This window comes from Homo sapiens, chromosome 12 (assembly GCF_000001405.40).
Source record: "Homo sapiens chromosome 12, GRCh38.p14 Primary Assembly".
In the NCBI taxonomy this organism is placed as follows: domain Eukaryota; kingdom Metazoa; phylum Chordata; class Mammalia; order Primates; family Hominidae; genus Homo; species Homo sapiens.
The window spans coordinates 102,899,192-102,921,796 of NC_000012.12; the positions used below are offsets into that span (position 1 = coordinate 102,899,192).

At 40.0% G+C, this 22,605-nt stretch overlaps 1 protein-coding gene and 1 long non-coding RNA gene across 4 annotated transcripts in view; one reads left to right on the top strand and one right to left on the bottom strand.

Annotated features, from left to right (window-relative positions):
* LOC124902999 (uncharacterized) overlaps positions 1-5,804 on the top strand; it is a 40,575-nt gene extending 34,771 nt beyond the window's left edge. Inside the window, exon 3 of the long non-coding RNA XR_007063428.1 lies at positions 5,507-5,804. This is a non-coding gene — a long non-coding RNA (uncharacterized LOC124902999). The remainder of the gene's footprint in view (positions 1-5,506) is intronic.
* PAH (phenylalanine hydroxylase) overlaps positions 1-22,605 on the bottom strand; it is a 121,553-nt gene that overhangs the window by 62,303 nt on the left and 36,645 nt on the right. For 2 of the 3 annotated variants that reach the window (NM_000277.3, XM_017019370.2), the window contains exons 1-2: positions 17,880-18,053; positions 13,600-13,707 (exon numbers count right to left, since the gene is read on the bottom strand). In NM_000277.3, the coding sequence (NP_000268.1) occupies positions 13,600-13,707; positions 17,880-17,939 (168 nt within the window). In that variant the 5' untranslated portion in view covers positions 17,940-18,053. Of the gene's footprint in view, positions 1-13,599; positions 13,708-17,879; positions 18,054-22,605 lie in introns of those variants that run through there. The other variant, NM_001354304.2, reaches the window with a different exon arrangement.

Consider the following 22,605-nt stretch of genomic DNA (forward strand, 5'->3'; position numbering starts at 1 on the left):
CAATCCCTGCCTTATGTAGAGCTGAGAGCACAGCAAATCCAAGAACCGAGAATGGACACACCTCTGGCACGCTTATTTGTGGGAGAGTTTTGGAAGGGAGGGGAGCAAAGAAGAAGTTCTGGGAAGCAGACCATAGGATACAGTGCTCATCACTCATACCCCACCCCTGGAAGCATCCACTTCCACAGCTTTGAGGATAACAATAAAACAATTTATGTTTTATGACTCAGTTTTTCTAGTGCTAGAGATTTAACTTATGGGAAAATTCACATAGCATTTCACCAAAACTTCTAAGCTAACTAAACTCCCATAATAGAGGAATGATGAAGTGGACTGTGGTATAATTACACAATGGAAGATTAGGCAATCATTAAAAAGTGAGTAACGGCCGGGCGCGGTGGCTCACGCCTGTAATCCCAGCACTTTGGGAGGCCGAGGCGGGCGGATCACGAGGTCAGGAGATCGAGACCATCCCAGCTAAAACGGTGAAACCCCGTCTCTACTAAAAATACAAAAAATTAGCCGGGCGTAGTGGCGGGCGCCTGTAGTCCCAGCTACTTGGGAGGCTGAGGCAGGAGAATGGCGTGAACCCGGGAGGCGGAGCTTGCAGTGAGCCGAGATCCCGCCACTGCACTCCAGCCTGGGCGACAGAGCGAGACTCCGTCTCAAAAAAAAAAAAAAAAAAAAAAAAAAAAAGTGAGTAACAAAAACAACAACATGTATTAAAAAACGTGTCAGTAAGCACTTCAAGACATGAGTGCAGTGGCGGTCTCTAGATGAAGGGCTTAGGGATGATTTTGTTTCCTTCTTTCTCTTTTTTTAAAATCATAGTTCAAGTTTCCTAGAAACATTTATTGCTTTTTTTTTTTTTTTTTTGAGATGGAGTCTTGCTCTGTCGCCCAGGCTGGAGTGCAGTGGCGTGATCTCGGCTCACTGCAAGCTCCGCCTCCCAGGTTCATGCCATTCTCCTGCCTCAGCCTCATGAGTAGCTGGGACTACTGGCACCTGTCACCACGCCTGGCTAATTTTCTGTATTTTTAGTAGAGATGAGGTTTCACCGTGTTAACCAGGATGGTCTTGATCTCCTGACTTCGTGATCCGCCTGCCTCAGCCTCCCAAAGTGCCGGGATTACAGGCGTGAGCCACTGTGCCCAGACACATTTATTACTTTTATAATAAAAACTTAACTTTATCTGTTAAATGGTTATAATGATAACCATTGGGGTAAATACTTATAATAGATATAGGTATGGGATTATTAAAAAATGTTTAAAAAATTATGCCCGGGCTGACAAATGGGGGGTGGGGTGTGGGAGTTATGTAACTGCTACTTACTTGGCAAAAGTCTTATATGAGTGAAGTTTCTGGTTAATTACACACTGAACATAGAGCTGAATTGTTTAAATCATTTCTTTCCCTTTGAGTCAATTTGTTAAAAAATAACCCTCCAGTTTGGCATGTAATTTCCTTATTGGCGTCTTTCTAATTTACTAGTATGGATCCTTAGAAACCAATAATTTTGATTGCTAAGAGAGCCTCAAAAGTTAATTTACAAGCCTGATTAGGATCATACTTTTAACAAATGAATTTTTACTTTTCAACAAGAGGTTTGTGTAGGTTTACAAATTGACCCATATACGCTCACCACATCTTTGCTGAGGGATAAAGAAAGCACTCTTGATATTACTCCAAGTGGGCATCTCGGGGAAGGCAATAAAGGCTTGAACTTTTCAAAAACAATTTCACGATTTGTCTAATATTTAATTTATGCATAAAAGATGGCAGCATAAAACCTTGCTAATCAGGATTCAAACAGAAGATATAGGCAAGGTGAAATGAATCACCAATTTTTCTAAGGATTCACCAGAAACCACTTTCTTCTCCTATCCTTTAAGAAAGCCTTTCTAAAGGGGGATTGGTCACAAGTAAATAAAACTATAGAAACAGAGTTCATAATGGTGAAAAGTTGGCTTGTCTTTCTGGATCTTCTTTTGACTGCATACTGGGCGCCCCGTCTCCTCCTCCTCCTCTATCTTATTCACTGACAAGAGATAATGGTATCTTGCAAGTATGTGGGCTATCTGGGTTCAAATTCTGGTTCTGCTACTCACTACCTTTGGATATATTAATTGGCCATTCTGAAGTTGGTATTCTGTGTTTAAAATAAAGATAATTTTACCTGGCAGCTTAATGAGAGTTTAAAAAAGCAAAAGCACCCAACAATTTTTGTCTGCACCTAATAATTTTTGTCTTCATTAATATATATTCAGTAGGTACTCCTTATACTCTGCCTCCTCAACTTGGTATAGATACCCATTTCTCTGAAAGATGGAGCACATCACATTTTATGTGTCATTTTATCCTTCAATATTTGTTTTACCCTAAATTTTTCTCAGCTCTTTTTTTTAATTTTTTTTTTGAGAGCACACTTCAAAAAGAAGGAAAGCCTAGGCATCTTTTGAGATGAGAATAGACTGGCAAGGGAGAACTTCTTGGACCACTATGTGCTGTTATCTTGGAGTAAACTTAAGTGAAGTTATGTCCTGGCCTATTTCAGAGGTTGCTGGGGACAACATCAAAGACATTTACAAAAAATGCCCTAAATCACTGGTCTTAGGTAAATAGACAGGACCATTCAATAATTCACTCAGTTAAGCACCATTTTTGTGTTAACCACTGTTCTAGGTGCTGGAGTGTAACAGTGGGAAAAGCAGAAAAAAAAATCTCTGCCCTTGTGGAGCTTTATGTTCTCAAAGGAGGAGACAAACAGTAGTTATGGTAAATAAGTAAAATATACAGTCTTCAGATGGTGGTCAGCACCATGGAGAAAGATGAAGCAGGAAAGAGGGACTGGCTACACCATTGTGCATGGGGGTGCTATTTTTAAACAATGCAGCCACGAAGTCATAAAAAAATAAACAGGTAACCTTTAAGCATGAACCTGAAATCAGTGAGGGAGAAAAACGTGAGGGAACAGCCAGTGCAAGGGTCCTGGAGTAAGAGAATGCACAATGTGAGGGCAGACCAACAAGGAGACCGGTGTGACTGGGGCAGAGTGAGCAGGAAGCGGGGGTGTGAAGACACCAGGCAGAGAAGTTACCAGGAATAGATCATGGAAGGCCATTTTGGCCATTACCTGAACTTTGTTTGGTTTTCACTCTGAGTGATATAAGAAGCTATGAGAGGTAATTAGGCAGAAGAGAGGTATCATTTGATTCATGTTTTAAAAGACACATTCTGGCAGCTGTTTTAAGACTAGACTGTAGTGGGACAAGACAGGAACTGTCTGGGGCAACAACAGTATTTGGGGTGAGATACGGTAGTTGCAAAGGTTGGAGAAGTCGCAAGGAGATACTGATGGAACTTCTTACATGTTTCACTGATTTCCTCTTCTGGGAGGGCCAGCAATGCCCCAGTTGACCAACAATATGGAAATTAAACCCACTGGCATTTACAGGAAACCAGAAATATTCAAGAAAGTATGAGCAGCACAATTAAATTCTACAGGGAGCTCAAGATTATCCCCCACTCTAGTCTGGAGGAGGAGATCTTGGAGAGGTTCAAGCTGGACCTTCCATGGGATTCTCACCCCAAAGACCATCTTTTGGGATCTCACTCTTGCTTCCTCTTGGCATGTCTCCTGTGTGATTCTTTGGACATTTTTTCTTTCAGTCACCTCCCACTTCATGAGATTATTTCTTCCCCCACCCTCCCTTCCAGGTGGCTGGGGCTGCCTAACTCAGGGGAGACTCCTTGCAGGAGAAAGCCAGGGTTGCAGCTTAATCTGGCTCAGCTCACGCCTTTAGAGAAAAGAACTGTCTTTTCTTTGTGTTTCTTTTCCTATACCACCAAATTGGTAAAATATTCTAGGTCAAAAAGACCCTGTGGGCTGGGCACGGTGGCTCACGCCTGTAATCCCAGCACCCTGGGAGGCCAAGGCAGGTGGATCACCTGAGGTCAGGAGTTCGAGAACAGCCTGGCCAACATAGTGAAACCCCGTCTCAACTAAAAATACAAAAATTAGCCAGGCATAGTGGCAGGTGCCTGTAATCCCAGCTACTCAGGAAGCTGAGGCAAGAGAGTCTCTTGAACCAGGGAGGTGGAGGTTGAGGTGGGCTGAGATCGTACCAATGCACTGTAGCCTGGGGGATAGAGTGAGATTCTGTCTCAAAAAAAAAAAACACACACACACACAAAAAACAAACAAAAAAAAACAACCTTATGTATGGAGCAATAATCACAACTCATATGCTATCAATAGGCCACAACCTCTGTGATCATTGAATATCTGATGAGGTCATTGATCTCTGAATATCTGATGAGGTCATGATCACTGGGTATCTGATGAGATCATTGAATATCTGATGAGGGGGAGGAGTGGATCCCCTAGGCAGGAGTAGGGCACAAAAAAGTGGGTATGACTAATAGATACTGTGCCTTTCCCATTTGCTTCCAAAAGGTCTGTCTACTGTAAAAATGGAAGGTAAATTCTGAAGCAGTTTTTGTCTCTAAGTGTCTAGCTCCTGGAAGCTTGTTTAGTCTGAGCCTCTGTGTCTTCATCAATTGAATGATGCTGTCTTTGAACCTACCCACATACGTCAGAGATGACCTTGGAGCTCAGAGCTCTGTACATCTGCTTGTTTGCTTGTTCCCTTCCCTAGAGAATATGTGGTAAGGTGAACAGTGTACTTCCCCCAGGAGCCTGCTTCTCATTTTGTAGCCCATTACTAAGCCACTTACAGTAAAGACTCTCAGGAGAGTATTTTCCTAAAAGGCATGGACATGAGCTAGTAGAGGCTAAAAATATAGAGCACTACAGAAAATGTTTAAACCAATGCATAAATAATTGAAAGTTGGAACAATCTACTGAGGTCAGTGGGATGTTGTAGGTTAGCAGGTAAGGGTTTTGGTATACTCCTAATCATTTGGCCCCAATTCACTAGAACTTCTACTTCTTATCTTAATTTTTAGAATGAGGAAACCTAGCCACTAAGAAGTTAAATACTTTTCTTGAGGTCTTCAAGCTCACAGGTTGTGCAACTGGGTTCTGAATCCAAACGGTTTGACTCTAGATGGTATATCCTTAACCCCAATGCCATTCCATCCCTCAGGACCCCAAACCTAGGTTATCACTGATAGTTTGGAGTTCATAACTCTAAAACAGCATGAGTTTAGTGGAACACTAGTGCCTGGAAGATATTAAGAGATCTTCCCTAAACAGGGTCCCATGGTAAATACATATAGGAAATGCTGAGTGAGATTACATTGAACAGGTTTCCTCCCTACAGAACTTCTCAGAGTCTTTAATAAGTTCATGTGCACTATGGCTCTCTAAAACCTAGATGTGGAATTTTTCAGATATAATGACCCTTGGAATTCTTTTCTGATAAAATACCTACTATCATACAGATTTTGACAGAATATTATTTGGGAAACACTGCTCTAAAGTATAGTCTAGATTATTTCATTTGTTTTGCCACTTATTTCCTTTAATTTCATTTTATAGGGTCCAGAAATGTGTTGTAAACTGCACAGCTTAAAGGTCTCATCCGTATTTTCATCTATGGCTTGCTTCTCCATTTCATTCACAAAGATGTTGGGAGAGATGTAAACACCCGAGTAGACTATGCACACCACAGTCCCCCTGCTCTACCAAGCTACTTTTCTTCTGGCGAATGGCTCAACCCCAGCTCTTATTGCTCATTGCCATTTTTCTGTAAGTATTCACAAACAATACAAGTCATTCATTCTAGATTTTCATTAAAACAAAAAACAACACTTTAAAATAAAAGCTTTCTACTCTCCCTAGTCTTCCAACATCTTTCTCATCTTCACGCTTTCTCAAAGATTCCTGATGGGGTAAAATAAAACACGTGAAAGGGGTAAAGGAATAAAAATTGTGTGAGCATCTTCTGTGGCCTCAGAGTCACACCAGGCATAGCAAGACCAGTAAGTCAATCACTGGTAGATCTGGGATTTAGATGCCCAATATCAAGCCTATATTCCTCCTACTCTTTATGTCATAACATGGGGCTACTATAATGTTTGGAACCAAAGATATGAATTCTTCTACGGGCAAATAGTGATCTCTTGATTTCTCATAAAACCTTGGCCCCAAATAGCTCCCTGATTCACCCCCTTGTAAGTAACAGATAGGTGATGGGGTGAAGTCACTAGTCCAAGGACAGGGTACCAAGATCTACCAGCCAAGCTTCTCTTGGCTCTCAATATTTTGTTTCAACATTCCCAGTTTAAAGATCGTTCTCTTTACAACAAAAAGAGATGCAAAATAACTGCTGTGTCATTCTGCTTTCTCATAACAATTGGTTTTTCTCTGATTAAAAAAAATATAAGGCCGGAGGTTTTAGCATAATAGACCTAGGTCAATTTCTGAAGTCCTACCACCTTGTCTACCTTAGACAAGCTACTGAGTCTCTGAGGTTTAGTTTCCTCCTCTCTAAGATCAGTATGGCATCGCTGACTCCCCACAGCACTGTGATGAGTATTAAATATGACTTAATTCATGTGAAGTGATAACACAGTCTCTCATGCACAGCAAGAACCCCTTCCCGGGCAATAGCTTAGAACAATGGTTCTCATTCCCGACTTGGCATCAGAGTCACCAGTGGAATTTAAAAAAAAAAAAAAAAATTCAAGAATAAACAAAAATCCAAAACACATGAAAAAATGACTGAAAGTATTGATTATATCAGAATTTTAAATTTCAGTATGACAAATTATACCATAAACCCAAGTAAAATGAGAAAGACTGGGAGAAAATCTTTGTAACACACATAACAGTATTCAGAGTATATAAAATGTCAAAAAATCGGTAAGAAAAAGGCACATTTGCCACAAAAAATACAATGTGTAGACAAATCACAATTTACAAAAAGACAAATTATAAATGTTATGAAATATGACCTACATCTCACTAATAGTCAGAAAAATGAACATTAAATCAACAAATTACCATATTTCACTCATTATATTGTTCAAGATTAAAGGCAATAATAAGCATATATTCTTAAATGTATAGAGAAATGAGTATTCTCATGTTGAACCAGTGGGAGTATAAATTCTTACAGGACATTTGGAGAAAAACTTTGTAGTTCTGATTAAAACTAAAAATGTCCATATCCTACGACCAGATTCCACTTCTAGGTATCTACCCTAAAGAAATTTTTGCATATTACTTACCAAAAAAATTGAACAAAATACTGCAGAATTGTCTGTGACTATAGAAACTAGAAAACACCATGGATGCCAAAAATAGAGGGATGATAAATAAAATATGATACACAGATATTAAGAACTATACTTCAGAGGTTAAAAGTTATGAACCTGATCTATATGTATCAGCATGTATACATTTTTTAAATGTTGCATTCACAAAATATATATATAGTAATTCTTACTTAACAGTTAATAAATATTCTGAGGGCACATTAAGTGATTTAATCTTTAGATCACATGCATTAAGTGATTTAATCTTTAGATCACATGCATTAAGTGATTTAATCTTTAGAACTACCCTATGAAGCAGATACGATTACTATTTCCATTTTACAGATGAGGAACTGAGGCACAGAGAAGTCAAGTCACCCTCTCTAAGCCACAGCCCTGCATCCATGGAGTCCATCCTCTTGGCCACTCCATTGTGCTTACTGAAAGAGGCTGCAGACCAATGTGCATAGCATGACACTTGTCAATATCAACATACTTTTCCAAAGGACTGGAAGGAAATATGCTAAACTCATAATGATGCTGTCTTGGCTAGAAAGTTTGTAGAATTAGAATGATCAGGATAGAGGAGAGATGAGAAAAGACTGTAGCTTTATCTTCTAATTTTTTTCTTAAGAAATGATATGTTAATTTGTAATATTTGAAACTGCAATGACACAGGAAAAAATGAAAGTGATATGTCCAAATGTTAACAGCGGTTGATAATAGATGGAAGGAATATTAGTAGTTAATTGTCTTGCATTTAAATGCATTTTTCAATATGAAAGAAAAAATACCCAGAGACAGGTACTTTTGCCCCCTCACCCCAAGAATGAGAGACTGGGACCAGGATATTTGCATTTTTTAAAAAACTCCAGAGTGATTCAGATGTTCAGGGATAGCTGTATTTGGCAGAGGTGTGGGGTGTAATAGAAAGATCATGGGCTTCGGAATCTGAGATTCAGAGTTCAATGCCATTTCCACTGCACATTAGCTGTGTGATCTTGAGCAAATTACTCAACCGCTCTGAACCTCAGTTCCCTCATCCATAAAGTGAGAGTACCACCTTCACTTAGTTTAATGCGGATTAAATGAAGAGTCATATGTGCCCAGCTCATTGCATAATGCGGTTCCACAAATACTAGAATTTGATTCTCTCTCTTAACGTAGCATCTTTTTCCTTCTTTTCTTTTCTTTTTTTTTTTGTGGGGAGGGAGGGGGCGGACAGAGTCTCACTCTGTTGCCCAGGCTGGAGTGCAGTGGGGTGATCTTAGCTAACTTCAAACTCTGCCTCCTGGGTTCAAGCAATTCTCATGCCTCAGCCACCTTAGTAGCTGGGATTACAAGTATGCGCCATCACGCCCAGATAATTTTTGTATTTTTAGTAGTGATGGGGATTCGCCATTTTGGCCAGGCTGGTTTGAACTCCTGGCCTCAAGTGATCTGCCCGCCTTGGCCTTCCAAAGTGCTGGGACTACAGGTGTGAGCCACCATGCCCAGCCTTAACTCAGCACTTTGAGTGATTTTAACATTTTGCCAGGCTGTTACTAAGGCGAGAAGTATACTGGCCTATACAATTTATACAGCAACTTCTGAAGTATGTTTGGAAAAAAAAAAATCAATACTCACTAACAACCCTTCTTCAATCACCCAATACAGTGACCTCTGTTTCCTCTTCTGTAAAATGGGTGTAATAACATCACTTACTGACCTGTGCAGTTGAGATTCTGGATAATGCTTCAGAGAGTTCACCCAGAGTTCACATACATGCATGCGCCCCCCTCCCTACCACCCCCTGCAGCCCCGACACACACACACACACACACACACACAAACACACATGTCTTGAGTGCATTCCATCCAATTCTGGTAATTTAGTTACTTGTCGTTTATTTATTAGGTTGAAAACATTCTGTTCATTTACTATTATTTAATCTATTAACTCTGACTTAGGCCTAAGGGGCAACCTCTCAAGGAGAAAATGCTGATTATCTAATATAAAAGCTAAAAAGTTACATAGGTGCATTTTACAGATATATTCTTTCTCATGGACAGTTTGTTGCTCAGAAAATGCTGTCTCTCTTCTCTACACCCATTGCTCGCTTGCTCTCACTCAGACATACATTCTCCTCCCCCAGGTTTAATTTTTTAAGGCAGTTTTTAAAGAATAATTTTGATTTATGAAAAAATAGAAATGATAGCACAGAGTTTCCACATAACCTGGACTCAGTGTCCCCCATTATGAACATATGAACATCTTACATTAATGTGGAACATAGGTTACAATTAATGAACCAATATTGATGCACGTTATAAACGAAAGACCATACTTTATTCAAATTTCTTTAGTTTATATCTAAAGTCCTTTGTCTGTTCTAGGATCCCATTCAAAATACCACGTTACATTTAGTCCTCATGTCTCTTTTTTTTTTTTTTTTTTTTTGAGACAGAGTTTCACTCTCGCTGCTCAGGCTGGAGTGCAATGGCGTGATCTCAGCTTTCTGCAACCTCTGTCTCCCTGGTTCAAGCAATTCTCCTGCCTCAGCCTCCCAAGTAGCTGCCACCATGCCCAGCTAATTTTTTTGTGTTTTTAGTAAAGACCGGGTTTCACCATGTTGGCCAGGCTGGTCTTAAACTCCTGACCTCAGGTGATACTCCCGCCTCAGCCTCTCAAAGTGCTGGGATTACAGACGTGAGCCACCGTGCCTGGCCCTAGTCTTCATGCCTCTTTAAGCTCCTCTCGGCTGTGACAGTCGCTCAGACAGTACTTGTTTTTGATGACCCTGAGAGTTTTCAGGAGTAATGGTCATGTATTTTGGATAATGTTCCTCAATTAGGATTCATTTGATTTTTTCTCTCATGGTTAGATGGAGGTTATGGATTGTGTGGAGGAAGACCACAGGGGTAATGTGCCATTTTCATCCTACCAAGAATGCATACCATCAACATGACATCACTGATGATGTTAATTTTAATTTTAATTTTTTTTTACTATTAAGGAAAGGTTTGTTTTAATATTCAGTTTCTTTTTGAATAATGTTGATTTTGGTCACATGGCTGAGGTGTCTTTGTCATATTTCTCCACTGTAAAGAAACTCTTCTCCCCCTTCCATGTGGTACTTTTTGGAAAAAAAGTCACTATAAAAACCCACTACTTAAATTATTTGGAACTCTAAATAGGAGATCTATCTTTTCTCTACTTATTCATATATTTGATCACAAGATTTAATTATATTTAAAAACTCAGGGTAAAAATTAATTGGCCCTGGCTGGTAGCTCACGCCTGTAATCCCAGCACTTTGGGAGGCCAAGGCAGGCAGATGACTTGAGTCCAGGAGTTCCAGATCAGCTTGGGCAACATGGTGAAACCCTGTCTCTACTAAAATTATAAAAATTAGCTGGGCATGGTGGCATGTGCCTGTAGTCCCAGCTACTGGGGAGGCTGAGGCATGAGAATCGCCTGAACCTGGGAGGCGGAGGTTGCAGTGAGCTGAGATCGCACCACTACACTCCAGCCTGTGTGACAGAGTAAGACTCTGTCTCAAAAAACAAAATTAATTGGCTCAAAAAGTGAAAAGATACTTTTAAAATATTTTTTTAACTTAAAAATATTTATTAAGGTAAAAAATTTTCTTTAGATTGAATTTCATTCTTAATTGAACACAACATATATAAAACTCAGGTTCTGTTGAGGATATAAACATGACTGAGACAAGGTTCTCTTCTTGAAGAAACCATCCTCAGGGCTAGACATAATGTATATGCTGAGCACGCAAGGAAGTGCTGCAGTTAAAAGTAAGAAGTGCTTTGGGAACACTGAGAAGATTGTAATTAATTCAGGGAAAGCTTGATAAAAGAGGTCTGAGGTCAGGGCCAGCTTCTGGGATATGCAACCACTGTCATACCACAGGAATCACACTTGGGGTTTCATGTTCTTTGCAACCTCCTTGAAATTCCTTTTTTTTTTTTTTTGGGGAGGGAGTCTTGCTCTGTCACCCAGGCTAGAGTGCAGTGGCACGATCCGGGCTCACTGCAAGCTCCGCCTCCAGGGTTCACGCCATTCTCCTGCCTTGGCCTCCCAAATAGGTGGGACTACAGGCACCCACCACCACGCCGGGCTAATTTTTTGTATTTTTAGTACAGACGGGGTTTCACCATGTTAGCCAGGATGGTCTCGATCTCCTGACCTTGTGATCCGTCAGCCTCAGCCTCCCAAAGTGCTGGGATTACAGGCGTGAGTTGAAATTCTTAATAACGACTTTTGAATTTGTGTTTCATAAGCAAAGTCCAGTGGGACAATGAAGCACATGCTGGGTATTTGGAGACTCAGCTCATGTGTAATCACACCATTTGCCCTCTCCTTACCTTCTCAGCCATGGTTCTAAGGGGTTGCTTTCAAGCACGTTGGCCCTCTGGACCCACGCAGCCTTCCCCTCCCTGGTCTTACCTCACCACCACTACTGCCCTTTGCCCAGAGTCATGACCAGGAGGCATGGGCTTTGGGGGGAAGTTTATATTCTGCTGCCACTCTCCGCCAACCCTGGGAGATCTGGCAGGGGATTTGGTGGGTGATTTGGCTTCAGGCAAGCTTCCTTTCCATTCTCATTCCAGAGGTTACAATCTCTTGGGGGATAGCTCATCACTGTGGGTTGGTGCAGCAGGTCCACGGAAATGGAAGATGGATTTCCCCATCCTTGGTAGGGGCTTGGCTGTCAGCCCAGCCCTGGCTGGACAGGGAACCCAGCAGTTAGAGGGCCAAGGTGCCCAGGGGAGGAGAGCACAACTAAATGGCAAATCAAAAACACCATAACAGGACATGAGAGAGACCACAGAAGAAAGGATAAAGTTATATATTTTAGTACTTTTAACAGCATTATTTCCTGTTATTGAGGAAGAGACCCCACGTTTTCATTTTGCACTGCGCCCTGCAAACTATGAAGCCCGTTCTGTCTGGGGCAGTACTGAATAGCAGTTAAGAGTGTATGTAGGTTCTAGACTCAGAATGCCTGGGTTTAAATGATTTCTTCCGTATTTACTAGCTGTTTGACCTTGGGCACATTTACCTAACCCCTCTAAGCATCAGTTTCTATCTCTGAAAAATGGGGGCAGAAATAGCTCCTACCTCATGTTATTTTCATTAGACTGAATAAGATCATGTCTATAAAGCTACCTTTTACTGAGATAACTTCTCATGCTCTGCCTTCCCTCCCCAGCTGCTCAGAATATTTGCTTCCCCTGTTAGATCCTAAAGGAGGCAGTTTCTCTTCCTTACAATTTCTATGTGTCCCCCATCTTCCTCCCCACCCACAGTGCTGAGAACATCATAGGTTTTCACAAGATATCTAATCGTATCCAGTCATGCCCCAAAAGGATTTGTTGATTGCATGCCCAAACACACTGAGCACTAAGTATGTGCACAGCCCTGACCAATGTGCTACCCCTGCCTCCCAATCAGCTAGAGAGGTCACAGGAATCTTAGCATAAAGCAATGTATTTTCAGGTGGGACAAAATCCCACCAAAAATATTAGCATAGTACTCGGAAGGAATCTGGCTGAGGAAACCTATTTGGAGTTCTGTGAAGTTTGGCTGCCCAGCAAACACCCAAATCAACGTTTCCTAAACTCTGTTCCCAGATGTGAATACATGTTCTTAAAATAAAAAGGATCCACAGTCAAGTAAGTTTGGAAAATAATACATACATTTCTCTCTGTAAACAACTTAGTATAATTAGTTTTATAGACTCTAAAAGTCCTATAATAAAGAAATCAGGTAAAATAATATGCCCGAATTTCCCAAGTTTATTAATTATGGAACCACTTTAATCATAAGACATTTACCAATGTCTTGAAGAACATTAGCTATTTTCTAAAGCATAGTTTTGGGTTAAGCTACTTGAAGAAAGGGACGGTGTCTTGCATATTATTTTACACTTATACATAGAAGACAATCAATATTAATTTAGTGAATAAAAGAATTAATATTTATTTCTTGTTTACTCTTTAACTGTAATCACATGTGACACATGTGATTACATGTTATGTGAAATGTAATCACGTGTCACATATGACTTATAGTTAATCATGCCTAATCACACATATGATTAGGCATTTTACAAAACACATTATTTCATCACAAAGTTCCTGTTGAAACTGACAAGGCACATATTATCAGCACTATATTATGAATGGAAAAACTGAAGCTCAGAGAGATTGAATGACTTAACTAAGGTCACACAGTTGGTTAATGTAAAAACTTGAGCTCAAATTCAAATCTGCCTGTTCCAGATCCTGTGTTCTTTTCATTGCATCTAACTAGAAAAGAACATGGAAGTTTGCTACGACATTATCCAAGACAAACATGATTGTAGCACTGACCTCAAATAAGCGCAATACTTTGGCCAATGCACCAACTTCTTCTTTGAGTGAGAAGATCAGTGATATGGCACCATTTTGATTGCAGTTGTCTTCAATATAGCTTGTTTCCTACAGGATAAGATGCATTTGTTTAAAACATTTTCCACAGTTTAGCAATTCATTCCTGTTAAACCTCCATGGACAAAGCAAGCATGAACTCTTTCTTCTAGTTAAATCTTGCAATACAATGAGCTATATATATTCTATACAGAAATATGTAGTGTGGTGGAAAATAAGTAAGTCCAGGGCAATTAAATGATCAATGATGCTACTGGGTCAGTTATCAGCTTAAGGAATCTTCAATTATTCATTGATGTCACCATTCAATCCTGTAAATTCAATACCTTTTATTGAGCAACTACTAGGTTCCAGGCACTATTTGGGCTCTGAGAAATTTAAAGATGAATAAGACAATGCTTTATCTTTTAGGAGCTCACAATCTAACTTAATAGACACATATATAACAAACTGAAAGATCCTTAGAGGTGATATAATATGATTTATAAAATGTCCCAGAAAGACATTGAGAAATACAGTGTGGAAAGTACTAAAAATGGAACATGCACAGGCTTTTGAATCGTAAGACCTGGATTGGAATCCTCTCTCTTTCATTTTCCAGGTGGACTACTTTGGGCAAATCATTCAGCTTTCTTAGTTTTCTCATCCGTGAAAGCATGCTAATAACAAGATCTGTCAAAACAGTATTCAGAGGATGAAAAAAGGAAAAGAATAGTTTAAAAAGAATATTGAGAAGTATATAAAAATGATGGAAAATTATAAATACACAAAAATGACCTCTTGACCTTTGGCAAAGATCTCAGGAAGCATTAACTTGCTCCCATATGCTGAGATCTGAGACATCCAATTGTTGAAAAAGAGTTACAAAATCCATGAAAGTACACAAATAACCTATCAGAAAATAAACTTAGTCTTAAACTAAATCTCAAAGAATGTCCAGGATCTAGCACTTACTACATGCATGTGACAGAAAACCAAGGTTGGGGTTAGGGCTGACATTCCAGAGTTTGCTAAATCATTAGCCTAAGTCGAAAAATAATACATAAAATTCTATGTGTGTCCACAATAAGCAGCAGGTACCTAAAACTGGGAAGAAAAAAATTTGCAGAACAATTACTCTCTTGTAAGCAAGTTAATGAAATTAATGGAATAGATGTTACATCATCTCAATGAGAGAAGGCTGTGTTAGGAAACTCTTAGTGACTCAGAATAACAAGCCCTGCATGAATACTGATGACCCTTAGCAAAAAATTCTTTCAATTCAGAAAATTCAGATTTTTGCCAAAACATCCCATGAAACTGAGGTGTGAAGGAAAAAACAAATTTATCAGCAAGAGTGATTTTAGGGAGCTTCAAATGAAATGGAAGACTAAACTGTTAAATATCCCATTTTGATCATGATGTTATCTTTCTAAAAAACTTCATTTATTTAGAGCCTATATAAACATTTATTTAGAGCCTATAATTTCTGGGTATTATAATAAGCACTTGATTTGGATTATCTCATGTAATTTGGCAACAACCTAAGAGGTAGGTTTTATTAGGCACCAAGTGCCCCCTTTTATTGATGACAAGATTAAGGCTTAGAGAGGTTAAGGAACTTGCCTATAGTTACACAGTTAGCAGTGGAGCCAGGATCTGAACCCAGGTCATTTGATCTCTGCATACTGTCCATGAATCACAATCTCTTGCAGCCTCTATTCCTCTTCCCCCTTTTAAACCCTGCCAGAGAGGTACAGATGAGTCTCTGACTTAAGTCTTCTTCCTACTAAAGAATACTGAGCCTTCTTCTTTCCAGTTTCCTTGAAATGACAAAAGATATTCCTGTCTCTAGTTCACTTGGTAGCACTCTTTTCTCCTGTTGGCTTCCAAGAAAAGTAAGATATTTCTGATACACATCCACAGATGCCACTTTTGACTAGGGCAATTCAGACTTGAATGTACCTGGGCTTGAAGTTGAGTCACCCCCTAAACCCCACCCCACTACAGTGTGTGTTCAGCCAATCACAAGTCTGATCTCATCTTCTCCAGAAATGCCTCTGGGCATCAGGTCCTTTCTTCCCACTGCCATCACCTGAATCCATTTCTTAGTGGCCTGCATCGATCCAGCCTGACATTTTTACTCTTGTCCTTCTATTTAGAATCCCTCAAACGCTCCATCCCCATGGCTTCTTGCTGATGTTTGGCAGTTTCTGTGGTACCGAATCTCTGGAGGCCCACCTACAGGAACCTCCTTTCCAGCCAAGCTGCTTTCTTTCTTGCCTTTTTAGCTCCTCATTAGAGTATTCACCAAATTTCCCTTTCCAAGATCTCACCTTCCTTAAAGGCTCTTTTGGGTCTCAATTCTCTTAGGAAATGTTTGTTCCCCTCAGCCCAGGTGCACAATCACTTCTTTATCTATGCTTTCCACTTGGCATTTGATGCCCACATGGTATTTCATAATAATTGACTCACAGAAATTGATTTGTCCTTAGTGCTCATCTAGTTAAACTCCCTTACATTACAGATGGGGAAAACTTAGAGCCAAAGGGAGAAAATAACTCACCTGAGGCCACATAGGTAGTGGAGGCTGGTCAAGAACTCAGGCTCCTAATTATCAATTTTTCTACATAATTCCCTTTGCTATGGACATAATATGGGAATTTAGTCCTGTTTCTTGCAAAGTAAAAGATTTACTCTGGTCCAGTCACCAGACAGTTAGTCAATAGCACTCCTAACAGCCTATATTTCACCATGCTGATCCCCCTTCACTTGCTCCATTTCTCTCCATGCACTTTGTAAATCAGTGTTTCTCAATGAGTGTTCCTTGGATCTTGACTCCAAAATTACAGGTGATTCCTTCTTATAATGCAGTTCCCTGGGCTTTACCTAAACCTGTTGAATCAAGTTGTCTTAGAATCTGCCATTTCAAAACCATCCCAGGTGATTCTTAACCATAGAAAATTTTGGAACCATTGATATATATACAGCCTATTTTTTTAATTATAACTTTTCCCTAAATGTGTCTGCAAATTCACATTTACTATATAACACGACACTACTTTGTTTGTTATTAATATAATTTGTGGATTCTCAATCTTCTAAGTGCTCTATAAAGAACTTTAAACCCCTATGCTTTCCTGATGAGATCCCTGCCCCTAACCCCTTCCCACAGTTGTGGGGACCGTATTGCCAGCAGCACCAAAACTATGTGCAGGATGGAGCCAGGACCTGTTCTGGGATCACTCTGACTCTCACGCTGTTCCTCTGTACAATAAGTTCTGTCTCCTAAGAGCCATGTACTATTTTCATAAGAAATTTTTTTTTTTAAGGATTCAAATAAAAATCAGTCCTAAGTTCTGCAGTCTTTCTAGTTATATTAACGTTAACATTAACCATTCTTTTCTCTCCAGCCTCCCTGTTTTCTACTGAGAACTCTTCTCCCTAATCCTACTGATGACAGGGGCCTGCAGACTTACATTATTTCCCTGGCCTGGGCTTTATGACTGAATCTCAAGAGTCCAGGAGCAGACTTCCTCCCATGGGTAAATATGTAGGTCACATTAAAGAATGTATTCTGCAATTCTTCACCTCAAGAAAATGCCAACAAATCCCGGAGAATGGAATATACCTTGGGCATTATTTCCAAGTCACGTTTAGGGTTCTTTCACATTCCATGCCCAGGGCTAACTCTTGGTCATTTTCCTCTCTGCTTAGTTTCTGCCTCCCCTGGTCTGAGTAAGTTTCTGTCTGAATTCTCTTCATGCCTCATCTTCTTCCCAAAATGAAAGGAGGATAGTTACTCACAATTTTGCCATTTTGATACCTTGCTGAGAGCACTTTATAAATATTACAAAAGAAATCTAGAAGGATTCCACATCCCATCCCAGATCATTAGGGACCAGCCCCTTCAGTGTACAGAAGAGTAAACAGACAACAGAGAGGGACAGTAACTTGTCCAAAGACACACAGCTAATTGGTGGCAGTTCTGGAGGCCAGATCCCCAACCCCCTAAAGCAATGGTCATTCATTCCTGTGAAAGCCACCGAGGACAGATGTTCTCCTACTTAGAAACAATTGTTGAGGACATTTGTCTGTTGACTTCCTGGATATTCTCATCAGCTTCCAACGAATTCAGACTTCTTACTGAGCTTATGAAACCAGGAAGCACCAGCAGTCTTCGGATCTCTTTCTCTGGAGGCCCAAATTCCCCTAACTGAGCAGCTCAGGCTGCCGTGGCTCACCTGTCCAAAGTCAGAGAGTTTCCTGCCCAAGCCTGGGTTTTCCAGGACCGCAGTGGACATGCTGGCTCCCCGGGAGTGAGGTCTCTGGCTTTTTAGGGCCTCAGGTACAGGCAGGTTTGCAAACAGCACGTGGGGCTGAAGGTTTTAACCTCGCACTAGGGAGGAGAAGAGAGTTACAAAGGGTGTCTCTTGCGTGGTGCATCTCCGCACAGTAACGCCCCTCGTGGGCGTTGTCCTGACGCAGGAGGCCAGGGCAGCCTGCCGGATGCTCCAGGTCACCTGCCCAGGACGGGCCGGAGGGGAGGGGCTGAGGGAGGGTGTGGGGGACGCAGGAGGCACCACTTCGCTGCCCGCCCTGGGTAAAGGGAAGAAGCCAGGGAGCGACGGGCCACCCAAGCCCCGTCGATTAGACAGGTTTAGGCACTTCCGGGACTCTCAGAAGCCTGGGAAGCGAGTTCTCTGCAATTGGACTAAGCCTGCGACCGTCTGGTATAACAATTATATGAATAATCCGCCCCCCTTACCCCCAGCTGAAACAGTCAGGATTCTCATTTAGATTTTTGTTGTTGTTGTTTTCCCTTCTGTTAACCTCTAAGCACACTGCCTTGCTGTGCGCTGACTTCAGAAAACTACAGCTAGAGGGCACGTGAACGCTGAGCACAGCAGGTAAAGAGCAAATGTAAGAGCGATCTGGGTTTAAATCCAGCCTGGTGTTCTCCAGCTATTCGCACAACTGCTCCTGAAGCTCGGAAAAGAGGGTGGTAGAGCCACCTTGCTGGAAGGTTTTAAGAATAGGAATAAAGAAATGCATTAAAATTTAGTACAGTTCTTCCACATAAACACTCAGTAAATGGAAGATATTGTTTAAAAGCAAATCCACATAAATTTGACAATAATTACTGAGACCTGTACCGTGTGCTTGGTGGTGTTCTAGTCTTTGGGAATACAGCAATGAACAAAACAGACTCTGCCTCCCCAGCTATGCTGCCATTCTGGTGGGCAGAAAATAAACATATAAATAAGTTTAGGTAGGGCTAAGTCTTTTGAAGAAAGTAAAGTAGGGGGATGGTCTATGAGTGAGCTGGTGGGATTTGGCCAGTGGTCTTCAAATAGTCAGGAAGATGCCATTAACCACACTTTTAGAGAAGACTGAGGGTGAGGCATTACTGACCAGGAGGTAAAACAAAGTATAAAAGAATGCTGGAAAGCAGGTTCAGAGGTTCAGAAAGGATGTGAAAACTCAGGGGCCTCAAGCCTTGAGTGCCTGCTTAATATTTTCCCAAGAGAAAGTAATGGGCTGTAAGAAAATAAGCCAATAATAAAGGTTGCTGGAAGCCCATCCCTCTCCTCCCACTGTTCTTTGACCAAGCATCTGAAAATAAATAAACAAATAAATAAATAAATAAGTAAAATAAAACTCAGGTTTAGGATTCAAAACAAGTGGTTTAACTCTTGGTTCTACCACTGATTTGGTCAAGCCCATGCCTCAGTTTTTTTTTGTTTTTTTTTTTTGTTTTGTTTTTGTCTTTAAAATGAGAATTTTAAGGGATATTTAGGATTCCTTAAGCCTTTATGATGTGCCAGGCTGTCTACTGTCTGCTAAGAATACAGATATAACAAGTGCAATTTCTGTCCAAAAGGAACCTTTAGGGGCCTGATGAATATTTCCCATAGTAAGTTGGAAGCTCAATGTTGTTAAATATTGAAGGCGAAGATCTTGATTTCCATCCTCAGGAGAATCTGTATTCTTTATCTGACTCCGGCATTTTTCAGTGTAGTAGACATAAAACATGTTGTATTCCTCAGCCTCAGGATTTTCTTACAAACATAATTTCATCCCTTGATGCTACTTGAGGGCAATGAATGTGACAACTCCAAAAATATTACAGGCATGCAATAAAGAAAAGCAAAGAATATTATCTACTTATTTGCATGCACACTCTGTCTTAGACACTGTGCCACGCTCTCCACGTGCATGGTTTCACTTCTTCCTCTTAACAATCCCATGAACTATGCACTCCCTTTTAATAGGCAAGAAACTGAGGCCTAGGAAGTTTAAACAAATGGCCCAAATTCAATCTATGTTTCACCCAACACCAAGGCACTGCACTGGCTCTCAAATACTTTTGCTTTCCTGTTTGAAATGAGGACAACATAATTTTTAGGACAACAAAATGATAGCTTTTCTTTCTTCTCCCCATAACAGCTGAAAATGCAACTCTTTTTTCTAATGTTTAATTTTTGTGGGAACATAGTAGATGTATGCATTCATGGAGTATGTGCAATATTTTGATACAGGCATGCAATGTGTAATAATCACATCATTGAAAATGGGGCATCCATCCCCTCAAGCATTTATCTTTTGTGTTGCAAACAAGCCAATTATACTCTTTCAGGTATTTTTAAATGTATAATTAAATTATTTTGACTATATTCGCCCTGTTGTACTATCAAATACTAGGTCTTATTCATTCTTTCTATATTTTTTTGTACCTATTAACCATCTCCACCTCCCCTCCAGGCCCCTACTACCCTTCCCCACCTCTGGTAATTAGCTCTCTACTCTCTAGCTCCATGAATCAGATTGTTTTGATTTTTAGACCCCACATATGAGTGAGAATATGTGATGTTTGGCTTTCTGTGCCTGGCTTATTTCATTTGACATAATGACCTCCAGTTCTGTCCATGTTATTGCAAATAACAGGATCTCATTCTTTTTTATTGCTGAATAGTACTCCATTGTGTATTAAAGTACCACATTTTTTTAAAACCCATGTTGATGGAGACTTGGGTTGCTTCCAGATCTTGGCTATTGTGAACAGTGCTGCAACAAACATAAAAGAACAGACATCTCTTTGATATACTGATTTCCTTTCTTATAGGTATATACCCAGCAGTGGGATCACTAGATCATATAGTAGCTCTATTTTTAGTTTTTTGGGGAACTGCCAAACTGTTCTCCATAGTGGTTGTACAAAAATGGAATTTTTAATCCTATCTCACATAAAAATGCCCTAAATCTAGGTTGAGAGGAAAGCACATCATTGCTATCTGAGAGAAGAAAAACTAATCGCTTCTTTAAAAAAAATTATTCTGGCAAAAAGGAAAAATTTATTTATGCACTAAGATAAAAATAAGAGATTGCTTGTGCCATAAACTTGCAGATGATTTTTAAGCCACCTTTTTGTTCAATTTGGTTGGAATGCAATGTGCTGCTATAATGAGAGCAGTGCTGGGTGCTAAGGAAATGGAGGAAAAAAAGGCACATCTAGAAGAAGCATCCACAGTCAGTCAGTAGACCACTGAGGTATTTTTTAACACTGCACAGAGGTGGGGAACATGTCACAAGATGAGAAGTTGTGTACTTGGCAAACTTAGAGCTGACCTTTGCTGATTTGGAAGTTGAAGATTACCCAACCATTGCAGGTTTATCAGTTCTTTCTTGTTTATCTTCATGTGCAGAAGGTTGAGTTAATCATAATCCATGAGTTCATGGCACAGAAACAAAACCTACATGACCCTTCTCTTGTTTTTTTATTCATTCTCTTTTATCATAATTCCTCACTCTCACTGCCTTTCCCCAGAGGCAACTTCTCTAATATGATGTTTAGCCTTGAACTTGTAAAATACATAGAAATGTTTGTGCGTATATGTATTTTTCATGGATATGTGATGTGGCACTATAGATTTACTACAATCTATGGATGTACTATAGATTTCATAGTTTCTTTTTTCTTTCAACTGTGTTCTTAGGATCCAGCCATGCTGCTGAATATGTATCTAGTTCTTTGCTTTTCTAAATGGTTCAGAATATCCCAGTGTGTATTTGCCACACTTGACTTCTTTATTTTCCAGTTATGGACATCTAAGTCATTGCTAATTTTTCACCACCCCAAACAATACTGTGATAAATTTCCTTATCTTTCTTCCCTTATAGGCCTGGGGTAGAAATTTTCTGGGATAGAAGAGTGGTGCTATTATGAATCATAGGGAACATGCACTCTTAATTTCACAAAGTGCTGCCAGATTGCCCTTTAGAGTGGCTTGGACCAGTCTACACACCAACCAGCAGGCAAAAGAGTTCCTATTGGTGGGTATACCTAATATGTGGTATTCTCCAAAGGTCAGAATTTTTGCCAATCTGATCAGCATAAGCTGGTGTCTTGTTGTTTTTAATTTGAATTTCTCTCATAACTCATGAGTTTGAGCATCTCTTTATATACTTATACCTCTTAGATTTCCCATGCTATGAATAGTTTATCATCATATTTTCTACCCATTTTCTACTAGGATTCCTGTCTTGTAGATTTGTTGCAATAATTTCTGTTAGCTCTGTGTCCAAATATTAGCTCTGTGCCCTTCTCAGTCACTGAACACATTGCCTCCCAATGTGTCACTGTCAGTTAATTGTCAACTGGTGTCCTTCCTTGATTAAACAATAAAACAAGTAATTTTGAAATAACAAGTCCATCCTTTTAAAAATTTTTGTGGTTTGTACTATAGAGTATTGTTTAAGAAGTCCTTCCCCATCCCAAAGTTCCAAAGAGGTGCTCTTCTCTCTAGCATCTAGATCTATCATAGCTAGATCTTTAATCTACCTGCATTGTAGATATACCTGTACATGCCTTGGGGATTTCTTAGAGGCTTTTCAACATGGTCCCACAGTCCAGGTAATACCACTTAACTTAAAGAGGCCAATCCCACAATCAATTGTCTTTTGGGATTT